The sequence below is a fragment of the Homo sapiens genome, chromosome 6 (genome assembly GCF_000001405.40).
Source record: "Homo sapiens chromosome 6, GRCh38.p14 Primary Assembly".
Lineage (NCBI taxonomy): Eukaryota > Metazoa > Chordata > Mammalia > Primates > Hominidae > Homo > Homo sapiens.
In genome coordinates this window covers 64,217,310-64,242,621 of record NC_000006.12, presented here as the reverse complement: position 1 = coordinate 64,242,621, position 25,312 = coordinate 64,217,310, and the positions used below count along the sequence as shown (strand labels likewise).

At 35.2% G+C, this 25,312-nt stretch overlaps 1 protein-coding gene across 2 annotated transcripts in view; it reads left to right on the top strand.

Moving 5' to 3' along the window:
- EYS (eyes shut homolog) overlaps positions 1-25,312 on the top strand; it is a 1,987,247-nt gene that overhangs the window by 1,464,605 nt on the left and 497,330 nt on the right. For both annotated transcript variants that reach the window (NM_001142800.2, NM_001292009.2), the window contains exon 31: positions 11,798-12,030. In NM_001142800.2, the coding sequence (NP_001136272.1) occupies positions 11,798-12,030 (233 nt within the window). The remainder of the gene's footprint in view (positions 1-11,797; positions 12,031-25,312) is intronic.

Below are 25,312 nucleotides of genomic sequence, written 5' to 3'. Positions count from 1 at the left end.
AAAATGAATACTTTGAATTGGAAAAAATTGGGGCTGAGAGTAATACAACAAGAAAAATGAACACAGTGAGAAGGATGGATTAGAGGATGACAGGAGCTAAAGTCACGGATGTCAAAAAGGAAATATGAACATAAAACTGTTGAAACATGTAGAGGGTATTTTACAACAACAACAACAAAAAAAACTTAGAATTTGAGGTGTGGAGGGAAGAAAGAAAAATCCCATTTCTGATACTTTCTGATTTGGTTTAAATGCAGAAAGTATCAATCTAATTCCCATCCAGCTTTGGGTTCTGGTATCAAAAGGCAGAGAGTTTGCCTCTTCTCTATGATCACAATAATAGTGTGAGATTTTAACACCCCACTGTCAATATTAGACAGATCAACAAGACAGAAAATTAACAAGGATATCCAGGACTTGAACTCAGCTGTGGACCAAGCAGACCTAATAGACATCTACAGAACTCTCCACTCCAAGTCAACAGAACATACATTCTTCTCAGCACCACATCGCACTTATTCTCAAATTGACCACGTAATTGGAAGTAAAACACTCCTCAGCAAACGCAAAAGAACAGAATTCATAACAAACAGTCTCTCAGACCACAGTGCAATCAAATTAGAACTCAAGATTAAGAAACTCACTCAAAACCACACAACTACATAGAAACCGACAAACTGCTCCTGAATAAATAACGAAATGAAGGCAGAAATAAAGATGTCCTAAGACAAAATGTACTAGAATCTCTGGAACACATTTAAAGCAGTGTGCAGAGGAAAATTTATAGCACTAAATGCCTACAAGAGAAAGCAGGAAAGATCTAAAATTGACACCCTAATATCACAATTAAAAGAACTAGAGAAGCAAGAGCAAACAAATTCAAAAGCTAGCAGAAGACAAGAAATAACCAAGATCAGAGCAGAACTGAAGGAGAAAGAGACACACACACACACACACACACACAAAAACCTTCAAAAAATCAATGAATCCAGGAGCTGTTTTTTTTGAAAAGATCAACAAAATAGATAGATACAATAAAAAATGATAAAGGAGACAACAACACTGACCCCACAGAAATACAAACTACCATCAGAGAATACTACGCAAACTAGAAAATCTAGAAGAAACTGATAAATTCCTGGACACATACACCCTCCCAAGACTAAACTAGGAAGAAGTCAAATCCCTGAATAGTCGAATATTGGAAATTGAGACAGAAATTAATAGCTACCAACCAAAAAAAGTCCAAAACCAGATGGGTTCATGGCTGAATTCTACCAGAGGTATAAAGAGGTGCTGGTACCATTCCTTCTGAAACTATTTGAAACAATAGAAAAAGAGGGAATTCTCCCCAACTCGTTTATGAGGCCAGCATTATCCTGATACCAAAACCTGGCAAAGAAACACACAAAAAAAGAAAATTTCAGGCCAATATCCCTGATAAACATCGATGTGAAAATCCTAAATAAAATACTGGCAAACCTAATCCAGCAGCACATCAAAAAGCTTATCCAACCAAGTCGGCTTCATCCCTGGGATGCAAGGGTGGTTCAAATACACAAATCAATAAACCTACTCCATCACACAAACAGAAACAATGACAAAAACCATAATTATCTCAATAGATGCAGAAAAGGCCTTCGACAAAATTCAGCAGGCCTTCAGGCTAAAAACTCTCAATAAACTAGGCAGTGATGGAATGTATCTCAAAATAATAAGAGCTATTTATGACAAACCTATAACCAATATCATACTGAATGGGCAAAACATGGAACCATTCCTTCTGAAAGCAGGCACAAGACAAGGCTGCCCTCTCTCACCACCCCTATTCAACGTAGTATTGGAAGTTCTGGCCAGGGCAATCAGGCAAGAGAAAGAAACAAGGGGTATTCAATCAGGAAAAGAGGAAGCCAAATTGTCTCTGTTTGCAGATGACGTGATTGTATATTTAGAAAACCCCATCGTCTCAGCCCCAAATTTCCTTAAGCTGATAAGCAACTTCAGCAAAGTCTCAATACAAAATCAATGTGCAAAAATCACAAGCATTCCTATACACCAATAACAGACAAATAGAGAGCCAAATCATGAGTGAACTCCCATTCACAATTGCTACAAAGAGAATAAAATACCTAGGAATCCAACTTACAAGGGATGTGAAGGACCTCTTCAAGGAGAACTACAAACCACTGCTCAAGGAAATAATAGAGGACACAAGCAAATGGAAAAACATTCCATGTTCATGGATAGGAAGTAGCAATATCATGAAAATGGCCTATTGCCCAAAGTAATTTATAAATTCATGCTATCCCTATCAAGCTATCATTGACTTCCTTCAGAGAATTGGAAAAAAACTGCTTTAAATTTCATATGGAACCAAAAAAGAGCACGCATAGCCAAGACAATCCGAAGCAAAAAGAACAAGCCTGGAGGCATCACACTACCTGACTTCAAACTATACTACAAGGCTACAGTAACAAAAACAGCATGGTACTGGTACCAAAACAGAGATATAGACCAATGGAACAGAACAGAGGCCTCAGAAATAACACCACACATCTACAACCATCTGACCTTTGAAAAACCTGAGAAAAACAAGCAATGGGGAAAGGATTTCCTATTTAATAAACGGTGTTGGGAAAACTGGCTAGCCATATGCAAAAAGCTTAAACTGGATCCCTTCCTTACGCCTTATACAAAATTAAGTTAAGATGGATTAAAGACGTAAATGTAAGACCTAAAATCATAAAAACCCTAGAAGAAAACCTAGACAATACCATTCAGGACATAGCCATGGGCAAAGGCTTCATGACTAAAACACCAAAAGCAACAGCAACAAAAGCTAAAATAGACAAACAGGATTTGATTAAACTAAAGAGCTTCAGCACAGCAAAAGAAACTCTCATCAGAGTGAACAGGCAACCAACAGAATGGGAGAAAATGTTTACAATCTATCCATCTGACAAAGGGCTAATATCCAGAATCTACAAATAACTTAAACAAATTTAGAAGAAAAAAAAAAAACAACCCCATCAAAAAGTGGGCAAAGGATATGAACAGACACTTCTCAAAAGAAGACATTTATGCAGCCAACAAACATATGAAAAAAAGCTCATGATCACTTGTCATTAGAGAAATGCAAATCAAACCACAATGAGATACCATCTCACTCCAGTTAGAATGGCAATCTTTAAAAAGTCAGGAAACAACAGATGCTGGAGAGGATGTGGAGAAATAGGAATGCTTTTACACTGTTGGTAGGAGTGTAAATTAGTTCAACCATTGTGGAAGACAGTGTGGTGATTCCTCAATGATCTAAAACTAGAAATACCATTTGACCCAGCAATCCCATTACTGGGTATATACCCAAAGTATTATAAATCATTCTACTATAAAGACACATGCACATGTATGTTTATTGCAGCACTGTTTACAATAGCAAAGACTTGGAACCAACCCAAATGCCCATCAATGATGGACTGGATAAAGAAAATGTGGCACATGTACAAAAATGGAATACAATGCAGCCATAAAAAAGGATGAGTTCACGTCCTTTGCAGGGACATGGATGACACTGGAAACCATCATTCTCGGCAAACTAACACAAAAACAGAAAACCAAACACCACATATTCTCACTCATAAGTGGGAGTTGAACAATGAGAACACATGGACACAGGGAGGGGAACATCACAAACCAGGGCTTGTCAGGGGATGGGGAGCTAGTGGAGGGATAGCATTAGGAGAAATGCCTAATGTAGATGATGGGTTGATGCTTGCAGCAAGCCACCATGGCACGTATATACCTATGTAACAAACCTGCACATTCTGCACATATACCCTAGAACTTGAAAGTATAATTTAAAAACATAAAAGGAATACAAGAATTGGAAATAATTTAACCATTTTACAAGAGAGAAACTACTAAATAATTGATGGTGTAGTTTTAGGATGGAACATAAACAGCCATTAAAAATCATGATTTTTGCATGTTCTCACTTGTAAGTGGGAGCTTAGCTATGGGTATGCAAGGCATACAGAGTGGTATAATGGACATTGGAGACTCAGAAGTGGGGAGAGTGGGAGGGAGATGAGGGATGAAAAACTACCTATTAGAGTAAAATGTACAATACAGGGTGAGGGGTACATTAAAATCCCAGACTTCACCGCTATATAATTCATCCATATAACCAAAAACCACTTGTATGCCTAAAGCCATTGAAATAAAAACAATAATAATAACCCTCTGTACTCTGGCATGAGAAAGTAAAATCAGAATCTATCAAGGGGGAGAGAATGTTTCAAAAATATCCACCCTTCATACTGTGAAACAGCGGTCTGCAATGCCCTGAGGTGCCAGTCCTGCCTAACACCCAAGGATGCAGGGAACATGAATCATATGACAAAGCTTGTAATCTAAGGAATCCTATTTGTGACTGTGTAATAGCTAAAGAATAGAAGATGGTGAGAAAGAAATGCATTTGTCCCGTGAGAAAAATTAGGAAAATATGAAAACAAGATCCATTAAAATTACACTATTATGTGGAGTGAATTAATTTATTTGCATTTTAAAATGATAATCTTACTAAACTTATTAAGGTATGATTCTTATCCTATTACATAAATGTTATATTCAAAAAAGAGGAGTAACACTTGGGGTTGTTTCTTCAGATTAATTTTTCCTTGTATGATTTGTTTTACTATCTAACATTTATTTTGAATGGCAAATGAGAATTTTTCATGTACTAACAGTAATTTTGCATATTTCCTCCTTTAATATAATGACAATTATATATGTTTTTTAAATAGCAAAAACATTTTTCTGTATTGCTTTGCTCTCATAAAATTTGCAATGATTAATTATTTTCAAAGTTATTAATCAAACTAAAAACAACATAAAATTTTGGAACTAGCTGAGAATGCTGGCAATTCAAACTTTTGAAGTCATTTTTCCATTTGTTTAAAGCTTTATTAGATGTTATGATGTTCTTATGATTTTGAAAGTTAAAACAGCAATTGAATTATTTTCTGGATTTATTCCTGTTAGCCACACCACTAAGACATCACTAGTTGTTTTAAGTTACCCTGTGTGAAAACTGAACACCTGGCAACTAAAAAACTCCACTGAAATAGTACAAGAGATGATACAAGTTATTAATGTAGGTGTAGATGTAGATATAGACATAGGTATATTAAATACATGTGTATGTGTTTATAGCTATAACATTTGATAATGCATAATTAGAGAAATAGGGGGCTTAGAAAGAGTGGTAAGCCATCACAGCCTTTACTATACATTACCTGCAAAAGGGGTTTTACTCAGTTGGTCTGCCCTGTGTGACTCCAGGTGAATGAAACAGATATTAGTTAGGCAAGTTCAGAAAACTACTTTTAATTTAAGTGGAGGTGGGAATTATTCTGCATATGACACTTATTAATAAAGAAATATAATTTGAAACAACAGCAAGTTTCTAGTTTTTATGTAAGTGGCTGTTAAACAGCAAAAAATTTGATAAAGAAATTATTGGTATAAGTAGAGTAAAAGTTGTTACTATGTAAATTGTGGCAACCACTCCTGAGGGGAATTTGTCAAAATTCATAAAAAATTAAATGTACATACTACTTATAAGAGTTTATGATGCCAGGATCTGGGGGATAGAAGAAATGGGGAGATTTTTGTCAAAGATACAAAGAAAAAAGAATGTTTGTTACATACATATAAATGTGCCATGTTGGTGTGCTGCACCCATTAACTCGTCATTTACATTAGGTATCTATCCCGGCACATTGTGAACATGTACCCTAGAACTTAAAGTATAATAAATATATACATATATAAAAATAAAAGATAAAAAATTAAAAAATTAAAAAAACCTGAAAGAAATAGAAAGCAAATTGAAAAAAAAGGAAGAAAAAGAATACATATGAAATTATTTGTAACGAAAAGCATACAGGTTTCAGTTCAAAAAGATTAAATTCAATGGAATTGATAAGATGGTCATTAAATAGTGTTTTAAAAGTCAAAAAAAGAAAAACGAATGTTTGATCCAACAAGGATATGGAGAACTTGAACTCTTATATTTTGCTGGCAGAAATGTAAAACGGTGAAGCCTCTTTGGAAAATAGTTTGGCAGTTGCTCAAAATGTTCAACGTAGAATATATAATCCAGCAATTCCACTCCTAATTACATATCCAAGAGAAATGGAAACATACATCCAGACAAAAATCTGAACATGAATGTTCATAGTATTATTTACAATAGCCAAAAAGTAGAAAAGTCCCACATCTTTCAACTAATGAATAGATAAATAAAATATGATAGATCCATATCAGTACTAAAAATGAATAAAGGGGCCAGGTACGGTTGCTCACGCCCGTAATCCCAGCCCTTTGGGAGGCCAAGGCGGATGGAGCACAAGGTCAGGAGATAGAGACCATCCTGGCTAACATGGTGAAACCCCGTCTCTATTAAAAATACAGAAAAAAGCCCACTTGATCATGGTGGATAAGCTTTTTGATGTGCTGCTGGATTCGATTTGCCAGTATTTTATTGAGGATTTTTGCATCAATGTTCATCAAGGATATTGGTCTAAAATTCTCTTTTTTGGTTGTGTCTCTGCCCGGCTTTGGTATCAGGATGATGCTGGCCTCATAAAATGAGTTAGGGAGGATTCCCTCTTTTCCTATTGATGGGAATAGTTTCAGAAGGAATGGTACCAGTTCCTCCTTGTACCTCTGGTAGAATTCGGCTGTGAGTCCATCTGGTCCTGGACTCTTTTTGGTTGGTAAGCTATTGATTATTGCCACAATTTCAGAGCCTGTTATTGGTCTATTCAGAGTTAGAATGGCAATCATTAAAAAGTCAGGAAACAACAGGTGCTGGAGAGGATATGGAGAAATTGGAACACTTTTACACTGTTGGTGGGACTGTAAACTAGTTCAACCATTGTGGAAGTCAGTGTGGCGATTCCTCAGGGATCTAGAACCAGAAATACCATTTGACCCAGCCATCCCATTACTGGGTATATACCCAAAGGACTATAAATCATGCTGCTATAAAGACACATGCACACATATATTTTTTGCAGCACTATTCACAATAGCAAAGACTTGGAACCAACCCAAATGTCCACAAATGATAGACTGGATTAAGAAAATGTGGCACATATACACCATGGCATACTATGCAGCCATAAAAAATGATGAGTTCATGTCCTTTGTAGGGACATGGATGAAATTGGAAATCATCATTCTCAGTAAACTATCACAAGAACAAAAAACCAAACACCGCATATTCTCACTCATAGGTGGGAATTGAACAATGAGGACACATGGACACAGGCAGGGGAACATCACACTCTGGGGACTGTTGTGGGGTAGGGGGAGGGGGGAGGGATAGCATTAGGAGATATACCTAATGCTAAATGACGAGTTAATGGGTGCGGCACACCAGCATGGCACATGTATACATATGTAACTAACCTACACATTGTGCACATGTACCCTAAAACTTAAAGTATGATAATAATTAAAAAAAATAAAAATAAAAAAATAAAAAATAAAAATACAAAAAATAAAAATTAGCCGGGTGTGGTGGCAGATGCCTGTAATCCCAGCTACTCGGGAGGCTGTGGCAGGAGAATCGCTTGAACCCGGGAGGCGGGGGTTGCAGTGAGCCAAGATTGGCCATTACACTCCAGCCTGGGTGACAGAGCGAGACTCTGTCTCAAAAGAAAAAAAAAAAGAATAAAGTTCTGATACGTGCAACAACATGGGTGAACCTTGAAAACATTACACTAAATGAAAAAGCCAGTCCAAAACTATATATGTTATCTGATTTTATTTATATGAAAGGTCTAAAATAGGCAAATCTACAGACAGAATGTAGATTAAACGTTTACTAAGACTAGACTGAGGATATATGGTGGAGAGTGGCTGTTAAGGGAAATGACATTTCTTTTGAGAATGACAAAATATAAAGCTAGATTGTGGTGATGGCTGTACAATTCTGTATCTATTAAAAATATTAAATAATGCTGTTTAAATGGGTACACTATGTATGCAAATTATATCTCAATGTAACTATTGAAAATAAAGTTATGATTCAGATAACAAGAAAAAAACTTAAAACAACTTAAATATATCAGTTACAAACTGATAGAATCCATGATGATATATCCAAACAATAAAAACACTCTGCAGATTTTAAAAGGAAAGTGAAGAACTATTCTTATGAATGGAGCAGCCCACCAAAAACTACATTTAGGTGAAAAAACAAAGAGTAGAATAGCATATCTAATAAATGGAAAGACAAAGTGGAATGAAGTATGTGTTTAGAGTATATTCTCATTTTTGTAAAAAAAAAAGTGAGTTTTCTTTACATGAGATATATGCATTTTGTTATCCAGATTATAATTCATTTATTTTACTACTCTTTACAATCAAACACAGTGATTTTTGAATCCTTTCTTCCCCTTACACTATTAAAGCTCTAAACTCAAGGGTCTTCTGGCAGCGTTTGTTTCTTTTTAATATTTCATCATCATTCTAAAAATGATCCTACTTCTGTACTTGAGAAGCCAGGTTCGTAGGCACATATCTGTGTGAGCCCACTCTTCCTTCTAAACATTTGTGCCAGACAAATGTCTGTTGAGCAGTGGTAAAGTCAGCTGGCAATGAGCAAAATCCTTCAGGCTGAAGCAATGTGAAGTGTTTAGCCCCATGGTTTTCACAGGCTGCTTGCTGTGGGATTGAAATAAGTAGTGTGTGTTCCTTTCCTGTTCCAACTAGAGTTCCCCAACACGACTGGAAATTGCTGTCCTATCAAGGTGTCTTTCTCCAGTGATCAAGTTTGGTTTTGAATCCATTGAGCATATGTTATTCAGACACTAATTCATTAAGAAAAAGTTATTGAAGACTAATTTCTTGTTATAATAATGGCTGGTTTGTCACTGTATCCTTATACAAAGTTACCTAAGAAACGATCAGACAGATTTTCACACTTACTATTTTCTAAACTCTCATACATTTATGATTTCTAGAATTTTAAAAATGGTAATTTTACTGTTCCTTTTTTACATTGCTAATTATATTACTAAGTCCAACATCTAGTTATGTTTAATAAACCTCCACAGTCACTTGATATTTTTAAACTGTATGTAAAAATAAGGTAAAATTTTAGCAGTGTGAACTAATTTTCCTTTTTAAATATATAACAAATTGAATACATTTTATTTCATTCTAAATTTTAAAACAAGTAAATTTGTGACATCATCTATAACTTCCAAAAATAAAACTGAAAGCCAAAGACTATTAATTATCATATATCAGATATGAAATTTGATCTTTATAACAAAGATCAAATGATTAATGTTTCTTTCAAAAATTGATTTGTGATCCTGATGTTTTCGGATCAATTGATAGCAATTATTTTTGTGCAATCACTTAACTGAAATGTGCAAAATATTGATTTTTTTCAGGTGAGACATAGGCTCCCTGAGCAGCTACAGCAGGAGAAAGAAGTAGTGGCATTTAATTCTAATTTATTCCTGAGAAAGTGGTGACAGACTGCAGTTCATGAAGTCCATGGCAAATGTTAGAAATGGTGAAATTATTCAGAAACATTAAAACTAAAAATTAAATTAGAATTCAGAATACTGAGTAATAAATCCCATGTCATTCATATTAGCATTGCCATTTAACTTGATGAAAGTTGCCTTAAAGAGACAAACTTATATCGCAAGGACTAATAGGAAGATGTATGCTAATTTTCTGATAGAGCAATATCAGAGAAAGTTGATTACAAAATTATATCAAAAGTGTTAGAACTTATATTATTTATAAAACTAAAGAGTTACATAATGGAGCTATAAAATTAACCTGGGGTGACAAAATTATTTCACTGCTATTGTTCTTCTTTAGTAGTGTGGTACAGGCCAGGTGCAGTGACTCACACCTGTAATCCCAATGCTCTGGGGGGGCCGAGGCTGGTGGATCACCTGAGGCCAGGAGTTCGAGACCAGCCTGTCCAACATGGGGAAACCCCGTCTATACTGAAAATACAAAAAATTAACCAGGCATGGTGGCGGGTGCCTGTAATCCCAGCTACTCGGGAAGCTGAGACAGGAGAACTGCTTGAACCCGGGAGGTGGAGGCTGCAGTGAGCTGAGATCGCACCATTGCACTCCAGCCTCGGCAATAAGAGTAAAACTTCATCCCAAACAAACAAACAACAACAATAACAGAAAGTAGTGTGATACATTGCATATTTACAAAAAAAAAGATTCAAAATTATTTATACAATATTTACTGGAGAGCCTACTAGAGATCAAGCATCGTTAGGAATAAAATGAAGAAAAGCACAGAAGTCATCCCACCATCCTTCATGTAGATTGCAATCCAGAGGAAAGAAAAGCAGGTCAGGCTCAATCATGAAAATAAATATATTGGTACAATCTGTGATGAACACCATAAAGAAGAATTTCAGGTTGCGAAAGAACTGACCTGCACATTAATGTATCAGTAAAATATAAATTATCTATTTCATCTTCTTTAAATCTTTTGTTCCAATAAGTTGACATTAACGTGCGTAGTAGATATAAAAATAGCTTTTTAAGTCTCTAAGATCAGTTGGGGAATGTTTGAAGTGACTTCTTTTGCTAAGGTTTTATCTTTATGACAAGGTATAAAATAAAAATTTATTATGTTTAATTGTTGATTTTTATTGCACAAGGTTTTTTACATTAAAAAGATAATTATCTCATTATTATATTAAGTGAAATTCTAAAAACCTTCCCAGACAGTATATGAAACTCATGAGTATGCTGAACACATTAATTCAACAAATTTTCTTAAGTATTATGAATAAAGATTTCTGATAAAATGAGAAACTTTTGTGTGGAGGGAGAAAGAAAAAACAATGAATATATACATCTAAATAGTAGAGGCTACACACAAAATAACTATACTACAGTTTCATCTTGTTGGGCCAGGGACAAAAAATAATGCAGGCGTGGGCTTAGCACTGTAGGTGAAATTTAGACAGGAATTGAGGAATAACAAGGCATAAAAAGTATATTAAACAAACTTCCAATATTAGGAAATTTCAGCATCTTTAAGGAATAGCAATCTTATTTGGTTTGAGAGAATTTAAGGTACTTATTAGGAATCATGATAAAGTAGGCTGGAAGAGCAGGGATGAATCAGATTGTCAAGGGGTTTTGAATGTAAAAGTAGGAAATTTCACATAATTCAGAGAGACTTTTGTTGTTGTTCATTATTTATTGTAAAGAAAAAATTAAACTGGTATTAAAATTTGTAAAAAAAAAATTAGGGAATATTTATGGGTATTTCTAAGGTACCTCTTGGATAGCTCCCAGAAATTAATGCTAAGTCAGACTAATGAATGCACATTTCTAGCAGTTAACTCAGAAATCCTTCAAGTTCAAACAATCTTAGCATGAAGATGTAACATGACCTAATTCTTGATCTTAGGCTCATAAGATTTGTAACAGCTAAAGGAGGACTATGTTTTTTCCATAAAACAACTGACAAGTTTATGAAGGTTATTTCTTCCACGTTTCTTACTACTACAGGGTCATGTTATGTGGCTCAGAAATTTTTAACATTTACAAATCTCATAATTGTGAAACAAACATGATAATTTTATTTGTCCTCAGTTAAACCTTGATCAGTATTGGTTTCATTTTCTCTTATATTAAATCAAATTTTCTATTATTTCTATTTATGTTCCTAGTGCTTTTACTTATATTTTGTTTTCTTGTCTGTTTATAAATCACAGATCCCAGGGATTTATGCTGTCTCCAACAGCCTCCTTTGTTGATGCTTCTGATGTGACACAAGGGGTTGATACCATGTGGACTTCTGTCAGCCCCTCTGTTGCAGCACCCTCTGTGTGCCAGCAGGATGTATGCCACAATGGAGGCACATGCCATGCCATCTTCCTCTCCAGTGGCATAGTGTCATTCCAATGTGACTGTCCACTACATTTCACTGGCCGCTTCTGTGAAAAAGGTAATCAATCTTCATTACCCTTTTGTATTTCTTTTTAAAAACCTCTCCAGAGAATGGACAGGAGTTGAAATGTATTGTAAACTTAGTGATGGGTACTAGCACAAACAAGAAACAGCTGTATAATTTTATTTAAAAATGAATTCTGATCGAATACTTTCAGTTTAGTATTGTAGAAGCAAACCTAAGATGTTTTCTGCATTAGGAATGCCATTCAACATATATTTCCAATTGCCATATAAAATAGAAGTTAAAATTCAAACATAGTGTTTTTTATGTAGTTACTTCTAAAATTATGGTGAATCTTTCCTTTGTTTCCACAGAGACAATTAGGTTCTAATTAATACTATTTTATTGCTTAATTGCCAAATAGCCACACTTATATACTTCATATGCAAATCCTCATATTTGAATTTAGTGTTTAAGAATAGTACATTAACTTTTGATGCTTAAGAATATGGTTTTAACATTAATGAAGCTGTTAATGAATGAAAAAAATATATTCTCCTATTGTCAACATCTAATAGCCTCCTAAGATGTTTTCAGTTAATTAGGGAAATGCTAGACAACTAAAGCCAGAAACACCCTGGACAGATTACAAAGGCATTAAGTCATGCTGCAGCTGACTTGTTGTCCTTGCACTGATAGCTGAAGTGTCATTGTGTCTATACAACTAATCTCCAGTTCTAAATTAGGGAGGAAGGGATGGGGATTACTACTGAATTATGATTCAGATAGCAGATAATTTTATTACTTATCCAAGACTGTATTTAATAAATTCCCATTTAAGCGCTAAAATGTGGGACATCCTAATGTTAATTCAAAGGGGTGTGTTTGTGTATGTGTATGTATGTGCATGTGTGTGGATGTGGATGTGTGTGCATGTGTGTTATTCCACCCTTCTTCCACAATGACTTTGTGTGACTGTGAATGTTTAATATTTAGCTAAGTAAGCAAGCAAATATAGTAAAAGGCACAGAAATGGAAACACAGTCTATTTTCATGTTTCTCTTAAGACATCATATAAGTGTTCTTCAAAATTGATTTTATCTATAAAATGCTCTGAAGATACATCACTATGGCTTGATTTTGAGAAAAGTATTTCATGTGTTTGCAAAATATCATGATGTTTGCTTTCTGCTATAATTTAAGGCCATTTATATTATATTCTTTGAGTAGAGAGATCTAGGGAGATAATTTGGGTTGTAAAGCTGTTTTAGATCTACATTTAACTATTTAAAATTCTGAGAGGGCTTTTTATCTTTTTAATTTTGTGCTAGGTGGAGTCTTAAAAAATACTCTTATTTATTAATTTATCTTGAGATGGAGTCTCGCTCTGCCGCCCAGGCTGGAGTGCAATGGCATGATCTTGGCTCACTGCAACCTCCACCTCCCAGGTTCAAGTGATTCTCCTACTTCAGCTTCCAGAGTAGCTGGGATTACAGACATTAGCCACCACACCCAGCTAACTTTTGTATTTTTAGTAGAGACAGGATTTCACCACGTTAGCCAGGATGGTCTCAAACTCCTAAAACCTTAGGTGATCCACCCGCCTCAGCCTCCCAAAGTGTTGGGATTACAGATGTGAGTCACTGTGACTGGCCTATTTTAATTTTTTAATGTTAGTGTATCTCCTGGTCATACACACGTATTACACTAGCAATGACCCTCTAAGCCATCATTTCTCTCTGTCCCACTGAATCTCCAATTCTCTCTCCTTTAACTCTTTACCTAGTATCTTTAACACTTCATAGAGTAACTGTATTTTCTTCCAGAAAAAAACAATGGAGGATTTTTGGAGTTAAGCAAGGTTTCACGGAGGTTTAATTGTATTTGATGTTTTGGTGGCAGAATATAGGAAAGTGACCTCAGGAAAAGAATTGGAAATCTATCCTATTTTTGCTGTAGAAATTATGTTTTCATATTATTAATCATTTTATACTTCTTAAGTTTTTAACTATTTTTCTTGCTGAATTTATAATATTTTAAAAACTAATAAATTGGATAATGTTTTGCTAACCATTAAGTAATCTATAGAGTATTTCTTTTTTAAAAGTACATGATAATCAGACACTATGACTAATATTTTTATCAATAATTAGTAATTACAAAATTGCATTTGAAGAATAACTTTAATTCATTAATACTGAGGCACATGATATACTAAACAAAATTAATGTAATAGGACTATTTTTAGATTATCATAATATTATCCGTAATTTTTTTGTTGTTGCCTCTTTTGGAAAATGTTTCAGTATAGTACATAGAGTGCCATATGATATGCATGTTCAGAACTGAAATTTTATTCGTAAATATTAAAGTGATGAATATTTATTTTTAACCATTTACTCTTTACATTTGAATAGAGTATCTTGCCTCTTTCTGTCATAAAGAAAGCCAAGGGCAGGATTGTGTTTTCAACCTATTGCTCTAAATGTAATCTGTGATGTTGTGTGCCTTAGAATCCATACTGACACATGTCGACTACTGCTACTGCCTAAGGTCTGTAATTCAGGAATCTGGTCCTAGGATGTCATTTTTTATAGCATGACTCAGGTTGGCCAGATGAAACCTGAATCATGCTATAGATGATGAAATTTAAGTGTAAATTTCAATAATTATTATATGCCATTTTCAAATTGTTTCAATTGCCTGGTAAAAACCTTGCTTTGGATAAACAGTCCCTAAATCTTCTCTATTTATATTTATTATACTTATATTTATATAACTTCTTAGAAATGTTCTTAGTATTAAATGCTTACGATTTACAGATAAATCAGAATTTACAGACAGAGTGCCATGAAAATAATGTTTAAATGAATCCCTTATTGAGTACAATCAACACCTAAAATATATGAACTTCTGCTTCAGGAATGAAATTTGCATAATATTATTGTGAAGAGTCCTGATTTACCAGATGCTACACTGAGTGCTTCATACATCTTATTTCACTTAACCCTCAGAATAACCCTGCTGAAGTAGGCTCTCTAAATTACCCCCATTTACAAATGAGAGATCTAAAGCCTTGAGTTGTTAAATTACTTTGTCAAGGTCACACAGTCTGTACATGGTAGAAATGGGATTAGAAGTAATCTTGGCTGAATCCAGATTTCACATTTAACCACCATGCTATATTACTGTACTAGCTGGAAAATCAAATTTAATGTGATGGCATAACAAAATTTTTAAATTCTTCCACTCTGTCATCTGTTTATGAAAAAAAAACTTTGCTTTAGGAAGAAAAGAGAGTTTTCTTTAAAAAATAAGATTTCAAAAATCGTCAAACCAAAGAAGTTAATGTTGATCTAGTAAGTTTTTAATGAAGAAGATATCATAATCCCCATAAAATTAAACTGAAAAACACATTGGGTGAGCCCAAAAAATTGTGTCTGAGTGGTCATATCTTTTCATAATGATTTCACTTAAACTAAAATATAAAAAGCAGATTTTAGAGTATTTAAATTTCAGAAAAATCTAGACATAACTGATGAAAGAACATGACTGAAAAAATATATAATTGCGTAGACATCTAGATATAAAGATATGTTGGAAACTGATTTTTCTTCCCAAGCCTCATTCCTTTTTACTTCTAGTTAATATTCTTAACCTGTGAAAGAATGTTAAAATATTTTATTTTAACAACTTTCATGTTACACAGCAAAATAGAGTTGTCAATTAAAGTATAGGCCTTAACTAAAATAGCACTAGATCCAGTAACACAGAGAAAGGGTTTCTGGAGCTATGAGACTAAGGAATGGGTCACCCACAGACATATTTCCCATCTACTTGACATTACATCATATGCTGCTCTACTTTATCAAATCATCCACATCCAATCAGCTAATAACGTTGACTTATAGAATTAGTTTGATTTAATATGCTCTTTTTTTCTTCAACACATGCTATCTTAATTCATATTAGCTAAACCTTGTTGCCTACTTTATCATAATGATCCTACATCTCACCAAGGGAAACATAAGAGCATATATTCTTGCTTTGTTTTATATGGCTGCATGCAGGCAGATGGCTGTCTCCTACTGTAAAGTTCAGAATGACAGATTTAGAATATCAGTGCCTTGTGTTGGGGAAAAGCGTATGCCTCTGACTATTAATTATAAGATTAACATTTTTAAACAGGCCCATACCTTTTAGTGTTCTATAAAACAGTTTTATAAATAGTAAAATAAAGGAGTATTTAAATGCCGTACATTAACAGCAAGAAATATTTTGTTTTAATTGATATTCTATCTACATATATTACATATATATTTAAAGGTTAACTGTACTGAGGAAATTACAAAAGTAGAAATAAAAGTGAGAGGCTTTACTAGGTGTTTTGTCTTGTTAAAAAAATAGACTGCCTTGATATCTTTGCTTTGCCATAACTGGAATATATTAAAAGTGTACAAGAGTAGTCCGAATTTATTTATTAACTTTAAATCAGATGTCTGAGTGTCAGGTATTCCATAGCTAAGAAGGCAAGGGAAACAGAGCATTAGTAAAGTTCTTACAACAGAGATTTATCTCTTCCAGAGAACTGATGGTCTACATCATCAGAAAAGGACCAAGAAACAGGTGTTTGCCTTTTCAAATGTTAATATCCATGTCTGAAAATCTGTATGAAATCAGAGAGCAATGCTGCATATTTATTAGTAAATGACAATGGCTGAAATACTGAGATGTTAAATTGAAAATAAATGGGAATTGAAGTCAAGAACAGTGACTAAAAGGAGACAAGATTACCTATTATCAAAGACAGGGGATTTCATTTTTGAAGTCAGAGGTAGACTGGAGGTTTATAACCTGCTCTGCTCTTCACTATGAACTACTACATTCTCCAGCAGGGAACACTGGGCTCAGCTGGAGACAAAGACAGCCTGCTCCCTATTCTCATACTTATAACTATGACACAATCCTCAGTGAGCTTAAATCAAGGTTTTGACAGGGATGTGTTCCTTACTGGAGTATCTAAGGGAGAATGCATTTCCTTGTTTTTTCCATCTTCTAGAAGATGTCTGCATCTTTTGGCTCATGATCCCATCTATTTTCAAAGAAAGCAATGGGAAGTCTAATTTTTCTCATATTGTATCTCTCAGACATACTCTTACACCACCCTTTACTACACTTAAGGATGCTTGTGATTATATAGGGCCCACTGAGATAATCCAGGATAATCTCTGTATCTCAGAGTCAGCTGGTTAGCAATCTTAATTCCATCTGCATCCCCAATTCCCCTTTGTCATGTAAAGGGGAATAGGCACAGTTTCCAGGAATTGGGCTTTGGACATCTTCAGGAGGCCATTATTCTGCCTACCACAGGACCTCTGGTCATCTTTCAGGAGACTTACATGATTACACGAAAAAGGAAACCTATTGAGTGGATATCTAGTGTTCATCAAATTGAGGGAAGTAAATGAAATCAGCTTAGAAAATGTATCAAAGGATGTTCAATGTTCTGGAAAGCCAGGGAACAAGAGCTATAATGAGGCTGATCTAGGAGCAGACTGGTCTATCCGCCCCCAGCACTGGACATGTGCCATGTTCTGAGCCACTTGCTCAAGATTCAGAGTCCCAGGAGACAGTCTGAAATTGACTAATTGGCAAAACCTCAACCATATGCTAACCCACTGCCTGTGCAAGAGAAGGAGAGGAACAAGAGGGGCCATTTTTCCTTGGGCTTGTGAAATAGTAACTAGACAATACAATCCACCAAGATATCACAAAACAGGCCTCTTCTTTATTTCAACACAAAAAAAAAATCATTCACAAAAGGCATTCATAGCATGTGTGCACATTTTTTTTCTCCCTGGATTTCTGTCTTTTATGTCCATTTATTTTGCAGAATAGTTTAGCAAAACTTTTTGTTGCCTTTCATCTGTGCAAACACAATGTAAATACATCACCAAAACATTTCCATAAACAAAGATTTTTCCCTTTACTTTCAATTTAGGTCATCGAGAAAAATATTTTATGGAGAAAATATTATCTTAAATGGTACTTAAAAGGATCAGTTTAAATGATACTTAAAAGAAACCAGAATGAACAAATACTTGAAGGAGAAGAGAGCTGTCTAGTTTAGTTTGGGAGCAGGGCACATATGGAATCGACTGAGAAATAAAGCTGGAAATTCAGGTGTGATTCATATGGCAGAGAACCCTAAATGACAGATTAAAATATAAAACATTAGAATGGTTTTCAATCAATCAAAAGACATAATGACCAGAATTGGACTTCAGAATGATAGATCTGAGAGTAGAATATAGAAAGGATTATGGTGGGGAAGAAGATGAGATGGGGAGAAAAATTGAGAAATAATTACAACAGGCCAAAAAATAGGATGAAAACTCTTTTAACCCTAATGCTTTCTAATAATTTGGAAGCATAGAAGATCTTTGTGTTCTCTTGTGCAGAATACAGTATAGATTTTTTTAACCCAAAATTTACCAGACTGGATAAGGCTTATGTCCTTTCATGTATTATTTTGTGAACAAAAATATGTGGTATAAAATGTGATTATAGAAAACAAGTCACAGTAAAGGTTCCATTCTTTCTTTTTGGCACTATCTTCTGCCCCACCTATTCACAGAAAAACTGAATTATATGCAGTAAAACTTGACCATGGCACAAAAGATATGGATAATAAAGAAAATGATATAGGCCTATTCTACAAAAGGTTACAGTCAAAGCATGAATGATCAACTAGCTAAACATTTGCAAGTACATGTATGCATGCACACTGGGAAGTATGATTTATCTTATATTTCTAATTCAGGGCTAAATTTCTTAACAGCCATGACTTCATTGCATGCATTCCTATTTGTTTTTAATACAATTATTATATACATTACGTGTATACCCACACATAAAGATAATTTGACACATAAAAGATAAATAAAGTACATGTTTAAAGTTTTTGTAGAATTATTAAAATCATTCACTATTGAAACTAACATTTTAGAGGTGCAGAAACAATGTTCAAAAAAAGTTTAGTAACTTAAGTAAACTACTAGTTAAAGACAAGTGTAGAACTAGAATACAAGGTCCATACAGAAAATGTACCACAGCATGTGTCCCCCAGAGTTTTTCAGGGGTATATTCCAAGTTGAATTGCAAGAAAAATATATTGAGTTGTATATACTTGTAATAAACAATTGCATAAACAGATAAGATACTAATGACCTCAATTGTACCAAATTATCTCTAGAGGATACGCATTTTACTCTAGGTATAGAAACTTAACATTTGATGAATTTACTAATTGTCCTTTTAATTGACAGACATGTTTAAAAGCATTTTTTTCTAAAATAAATTTGCTAACAAAAATGGAAAGTAGAAAATATCATTATAATTTCTTATATACTGCCAGAGAAATCACTTTTAAGTGACAATGGTTAAACAGTGGGAAGAATGAGAAAAAAATTGGTATTCAGTGATCATGCAACTTAATTTTTAATGGTTCCAGGACGGGGTGCACTGGGAGTGGAGAAAGGCCTTTTTAAAAATCTACAATGAGGAAATGCCATTTAAGCCAAAACTTAAAAAATAGAAAGTCACCAGAACTTTGAAAAGCAGAGGAAAGAAAGTTCCAAAGAGAATAGTATGCTGTCATGAACATGAGTATATAAGAATGATTTTTATGAGTTTTTTTTAAAAGGAAAACTGTAAGTACCGATAATTTTCTTGGACTTAATATAAGACTAAAACAAATTACTGAAGAAAAATCAATGCCTCTAATTTCATTCACTGATGTATTTTAAATTTGTAATCAGCCTATTGTCCCTCATCTCATGAATTTCAATAAAGTTTTATGGCCAAATGCTAAATATGGCTATTTTTTCTGATACTGCAACTCATAGTCTTTCAAAGAAAACACTATGCTTTTCCATAGGAGAACACATTTTCAGATAACTAAATTAATAGGGTTTAGTTGAGAATCTCAATGTCATTTAACATATTAACATTTTAAATAATGGTAGAGGAACTACATTAATATTTTTGTATTATACTATTTACAATAAAATAGTAAGGATGTGTAAGAAAATACTATTCTCTAGTTAATGGGAATAAATCAGGGAAAAGGATTGAAGAGTATAAATTTGGATGATATGAAAACAGACCAACAGTAAAAACAAGGGCTAATGTGAACCTGACCTAAAATGTTATTACACAATGGCAAAACAACAAGGAAAAACTATAATGAGCAGAGATAATTAAGAACAAAACGTGTGGTCTCTGGGAAATTCATTTTCAGACATTGTTGTCAACATGCGATGTGCCTTTGATAGGAAAAACTTAATTTAAGAATTTATATGTAAAAGACAACATCATGCCCTTACTTGTAAATACAATCTTATTAATGAAATTGAAAACTATCTGAGTAGAAGAATTTATTATTTAACTGTCCTGGGAATATTAAATCAATTTCAATTGCTTTAATCTATTTTGGTAAGTTTTCTCTGTGAATGTCTCTATTCTCTGTCCTAGGATCATAGATATGGACCTGAATAAATATGAAGAGATATGAGGCAATATGGAAATTAATCTTCACACAAATATGCCACCTTTTGCCTGCAGTTCTCTTGACTGCCTGTGGTTTAAAAGTAGGAAATGGAAACTTTGTGTAATCTCAATGTTTCTGAAGATTACAGTAGTCCCCACTACTCCACAGGGGATAGAATTCTAAGACCGTCCCGCAGTGGATGCCTGAAACCTCAAATAATACCAAGCCCTATATCCAGTCATCCTTTGTATTTACGGGAGATTGGCTCCAGGACTCCTCTCAGATACCATAAACAATCAAGTTTCTTATATAAAATGGACAAAGGAATTTTTCACATCCCAGGTGGGATGGATGGGGATGGTGTGAGATTTCATCACGGTACTCAGAAAGGTGTGCAATTTAAAATGTGTGAATTATTTCTGGAATTTTCTATTTAATATTTTTGGATGGCATTTGCCCATGGAGTAACTGAAACTGAGGAAAGCAAAACAGAAAATAAGGAAAAACTACTGTAATATCAGATTGTCTTAGCCCATTTTCTGTTGCTATAACAGAATACCACAGACTAGGTAATTTATAATAAACAGAAATTTAATGGTTCATAGTCCTGGAGACTAGAAAGTCCAAGATTGAGGAGGTCACATCTGGTGAGGGCCTTCTTGCTGTATCATCCCATGATAATAGACAAAAGGGCAGAAAAACAATGAAAGAGAAAAAGAAAAAGGGAGCCCAACTACCCCTTTTATAATGAATTCCCTCCTGTGATACTGGCATAAATCCATTCACTTTGTCCTCGTGACCTAATCACCTCTCATTACACCGAACATGCCAACATTGTTGCACTGAGGAGTAAGTTTCCAACACATGTTTTGGGGGTGCACATTCAAACCATAGTACAAATGTAGTAACTAAGAAATAGGAAAGCAATAGATAATAACAGCTAATATTTACCATTGTACAATTGGTACATACACACTGTCCTAAACTCTTTTCATGCATTTTCTCTTTCATTCCACACACCAATTCTGTGAATCAAGTGATAATTTATTAGTTGAAGGTTTTTTCTGTCTCCAAGTTATAGAAACCAACTCAATAATAAGTAACTTGCAGTGACTCATTTAATCCTCATGAATCAGTGTGATAGTGTGATTTTGAAGTAAATATTATCCTATCCCCGTAATTCAAGAGAAAAAATGGAGGAGAGAGTTTAAGTGTTTTGTCCATGGTTACTCAGCCAGTAAATTCTGGAATTGAGATTGGAATCCAAGCTTTTTGAACTATTCTACCTATCTAATCCAAGTTAAAATAAACAACGTTAGATTCAAACTTATTATATGAATATAAAGATGGAATCTCATAGAACCCTAGAATGAGCATGCAAAGATGTTTGCAGAAGGGAACTACAACTAGGAACAAAGGCACTCTCAGTATTTTCTCTGTTCGAGTCATGTTTCATTTTTCCTACCATGTCCTGATTGACAACGGATTTTGAATGAACATTGTAGAGTCCTTCTCCCAAGGAAGGGCTGAACCATTCTTAGATTGAACCTGGGGAAGAGATACTGGCTGTCCAGTTTAGCTAAGGGAACTACCCCTCATCCAATGGCTCTAGCCCAAAGTATGCCATGCCAGCCAGTCTGCTGAAAGTCAGCTCATTGATCTACCTGCAGATTAGAAAGCAGCTGCCCAAGAAGGAAGAATTACAGTGGGCTGGGAATATACCACAAAATATGTAAACTATAACTATTCATATTCCCATTCTCCTGGTGAAAAAACTGAGCACAGAGAAAATAATTTGTGGGGTCAACAAACCAGAACTCAGTAATTTGTGATTACCAAAGCAAGAACTCCAACCAAGGTGTATTTAATGCCAAAAATTGTTATCTCAAACTGCTATACATTTCTATTAAAATTTTTTACTTTAAGTTTTAGGGTACATGTGCACAATGTGCAGGTTTGTTACATATGTATACATGTGCCATGTTGGTGTGCTGTACCCACCAATTTGTCATTTAACATTAGGTATATCTCCTAATGCTATCCCTCTCCCTCCCCCTCACCCCACAATAGGCCCTGGTGTGTGATGTTCCCCTTCCTGTGTCCATGTGTTCTCATTGTTCAATTCCCACCCATGAGTGAGAACATGCGCTATTTGTTTTTTTGTGCTTGCAGTAGTTTGCTGAGAATGATGGTTTCCAGCTTCATCCATGTCCCTATAAAGGACTTGAACTCATCATTTTTTATGGCTGCATAGTGTTCCATGGTGTATATGTGCTACATTTTCTTAATCCAGTCTATCATTGTTGGACATTTGGGTTGGTTCCAAGTCTTTGCTATTGTGAATAGTGGCACAGTAAACATACATGCGCAATGGCGATCATTCAAAAGTCAGGAAACAACAGGTGCTGGAGAGGATATGGAGAAATAGGAACACTTTTACACTGTTGGTGGGACTGTAAACTAGTTCAACCATTGTGGAAGTCAGTGTGGCGATTCCTCAGGGATCTAGAACTAGAAATACCATTTGACCCAGCTATCCCTTTACTGGGTATATACCCAAAGGATTATAAATCATGCTGCTATAAAAATTCTTTCTTAACAAACAAAAACAAAAATAATGTCATCTATATTGAGATAGTAATGCATTCAGTTATTAAATGACCTGACTTGGTAGATTGTACTCAAGAATAATTTCATTTCTTCTAACACTGACTATTGAAATGTTCTATCAGATTTCTCTACCCTCTTAGTTTGTGACAACCTGGGAATATCCCATAGCTCTCAGGTCACTTGTAGGTATTGAAAAATCTAATCCAATTTAAAACTTCCCTCTTATATTCAATTTGAAACTGTCCACACCCTTCTGCCCTTCCCTTTGATCCACTTCCTCCTCAAAGCTAGAGTCTTCAAGGTCAGATCAGGATAGTAGAAATCAGGAAAAGCATCAAAAGTCATATTCCTTAGCAGGTGCTCATTATAATTCCGCATGGGCAGCAAATGCATTCTGTCATTGCGGCTGCATCAGTGGTTTGTTGGTGATTCCCCACAACACCTTTCCCTGTTGTAGGTTTTGCCCTCTCAGCTAATATCCTGCAAACTCTCTTTAGCAGCTCTCAGGGAAGTACATGCCTGCTGTTTTTGGCTGGTGCACATGACAAGGTTGACATGTTATTAGACAAGGTTATTTCTAGATGACTTGAGCCGTGTTACCTTCCTCATCATCAATTGGATCCCAGAAAATCTCAGGCATCACGGTTCTGCCAACTAAGAGAAGTGTAAATAAACCCATGGGTGAATTCTCACTTTCTTCAATAACTTTGCCGGCTACTCCAGCTGTCCAACTGCTTTCAAGATTCTCCCAGCAAGAAGCAGGCCCCAGTTTCCATTTCCTGCTTCCTAATTGTAGAATGTCAAAGGCAAACAAGGCTAGACATTACTTAAAGCAGTGAAAACAGATTTTATTCAGTAACTACTGACAGTAGGCGAAGAGCTGAGCTCCATTCTGATTTGTGTGATCGAGTCTTTTTAAGTGAGGGGGACAAGTAGGGACTCAAGTAGAGCCAGAGAAATGAAAAATTACTAAGGGTTGGTCAGTGTAAATGTGATTAGGCCAACTGTGTCTGCTAGCTGGCAATTCTCCCAAGTCAAGATTCTATCCTCCCACAGAGATAGGATAGAACAGAGGTTCTGTCCTTCTTGATGATTACATTTCAAAGGAATGTCTCTGTCTGTCTTTAAGAAAGAAACTTCTGAGTTGTAAGAGATACAATAAATCTCAAAGGGACACAAGAAGGAGTCATGATTGTAAGGCTTTTTAGTAAATCCTCCAAGAAAGGGAGGTCAGAGGCCTGTCTTCAGGCATGGCTGAAGCAAATAAATTCACCTGGCAGTATTGAGCTTTCTCAGGTAGGCATTTCAATGGAGGGGCAGGGGAACTGGGGTCATCCTAGGGACAGGGCCTCATGCTGCTAGAGATCATGCTAGACTGTGGTCCTCTCTTAATGCAGAGGCTTAGATAGAGTCATTATGTGCTGAGATTTCTGCAGTTCTCATAGATCATGTGTCTAGTCCTCCCAAGAAGTCTCTCTACACAGACAGCAACAGAGAGATTCCTACAACAACAGAGATTCCTACAAACTGCTTCAGCTCTGCTAGCATGTGTCCCACTATCAACTATTTCTGAATGATGCTTTTGGGGATTTCCTCACTTGGTTTGTGGTGGGGGTAGGATATGCCTCAGTGCTTTCTACTCTTAAATTCCTCTGAAGAATCATCTTCTTTGATAAACTCTAACTTTCATAAGATTTGGGGAGATGGTAGCTAGGCCAATGAACATGTACCACCTAGATATGTTTAATACCCATCTTTAGAAGGGGAGGTAGTTATCACCCATTGTTTGCAGTTTGGAAAATTTAATAAGAATTTAGAGAAAATAGGAAAAGGCCTCTTATAGATGTTATTATATTAACATAAAGATAGAACACATTATTATCAAGATGTAAATGAATCCACTCTTGAGGATTAATGGTATTTCTTTCTGCAGTTCCTTTTCTTGGGGGTGGCAGGGGGACGGAGTCTTGCTCTGTCACTCGGGCTGCAGTGCAGGGGCCTGATCTCAGCTCACTGCAAACTCTGTCTCCTGGGTTCAAGGGATTCTCCTGTCTCAGCTTCCCAAGTAGCTGGGATTACAGGAACCCACCACCATGCCCTGCTAATTTTTGTATTTTTAGTAGAGATGGGGTTTTGCCATGTTGACCCGGCTGGTCTCAAACTCCTGACCTCAGG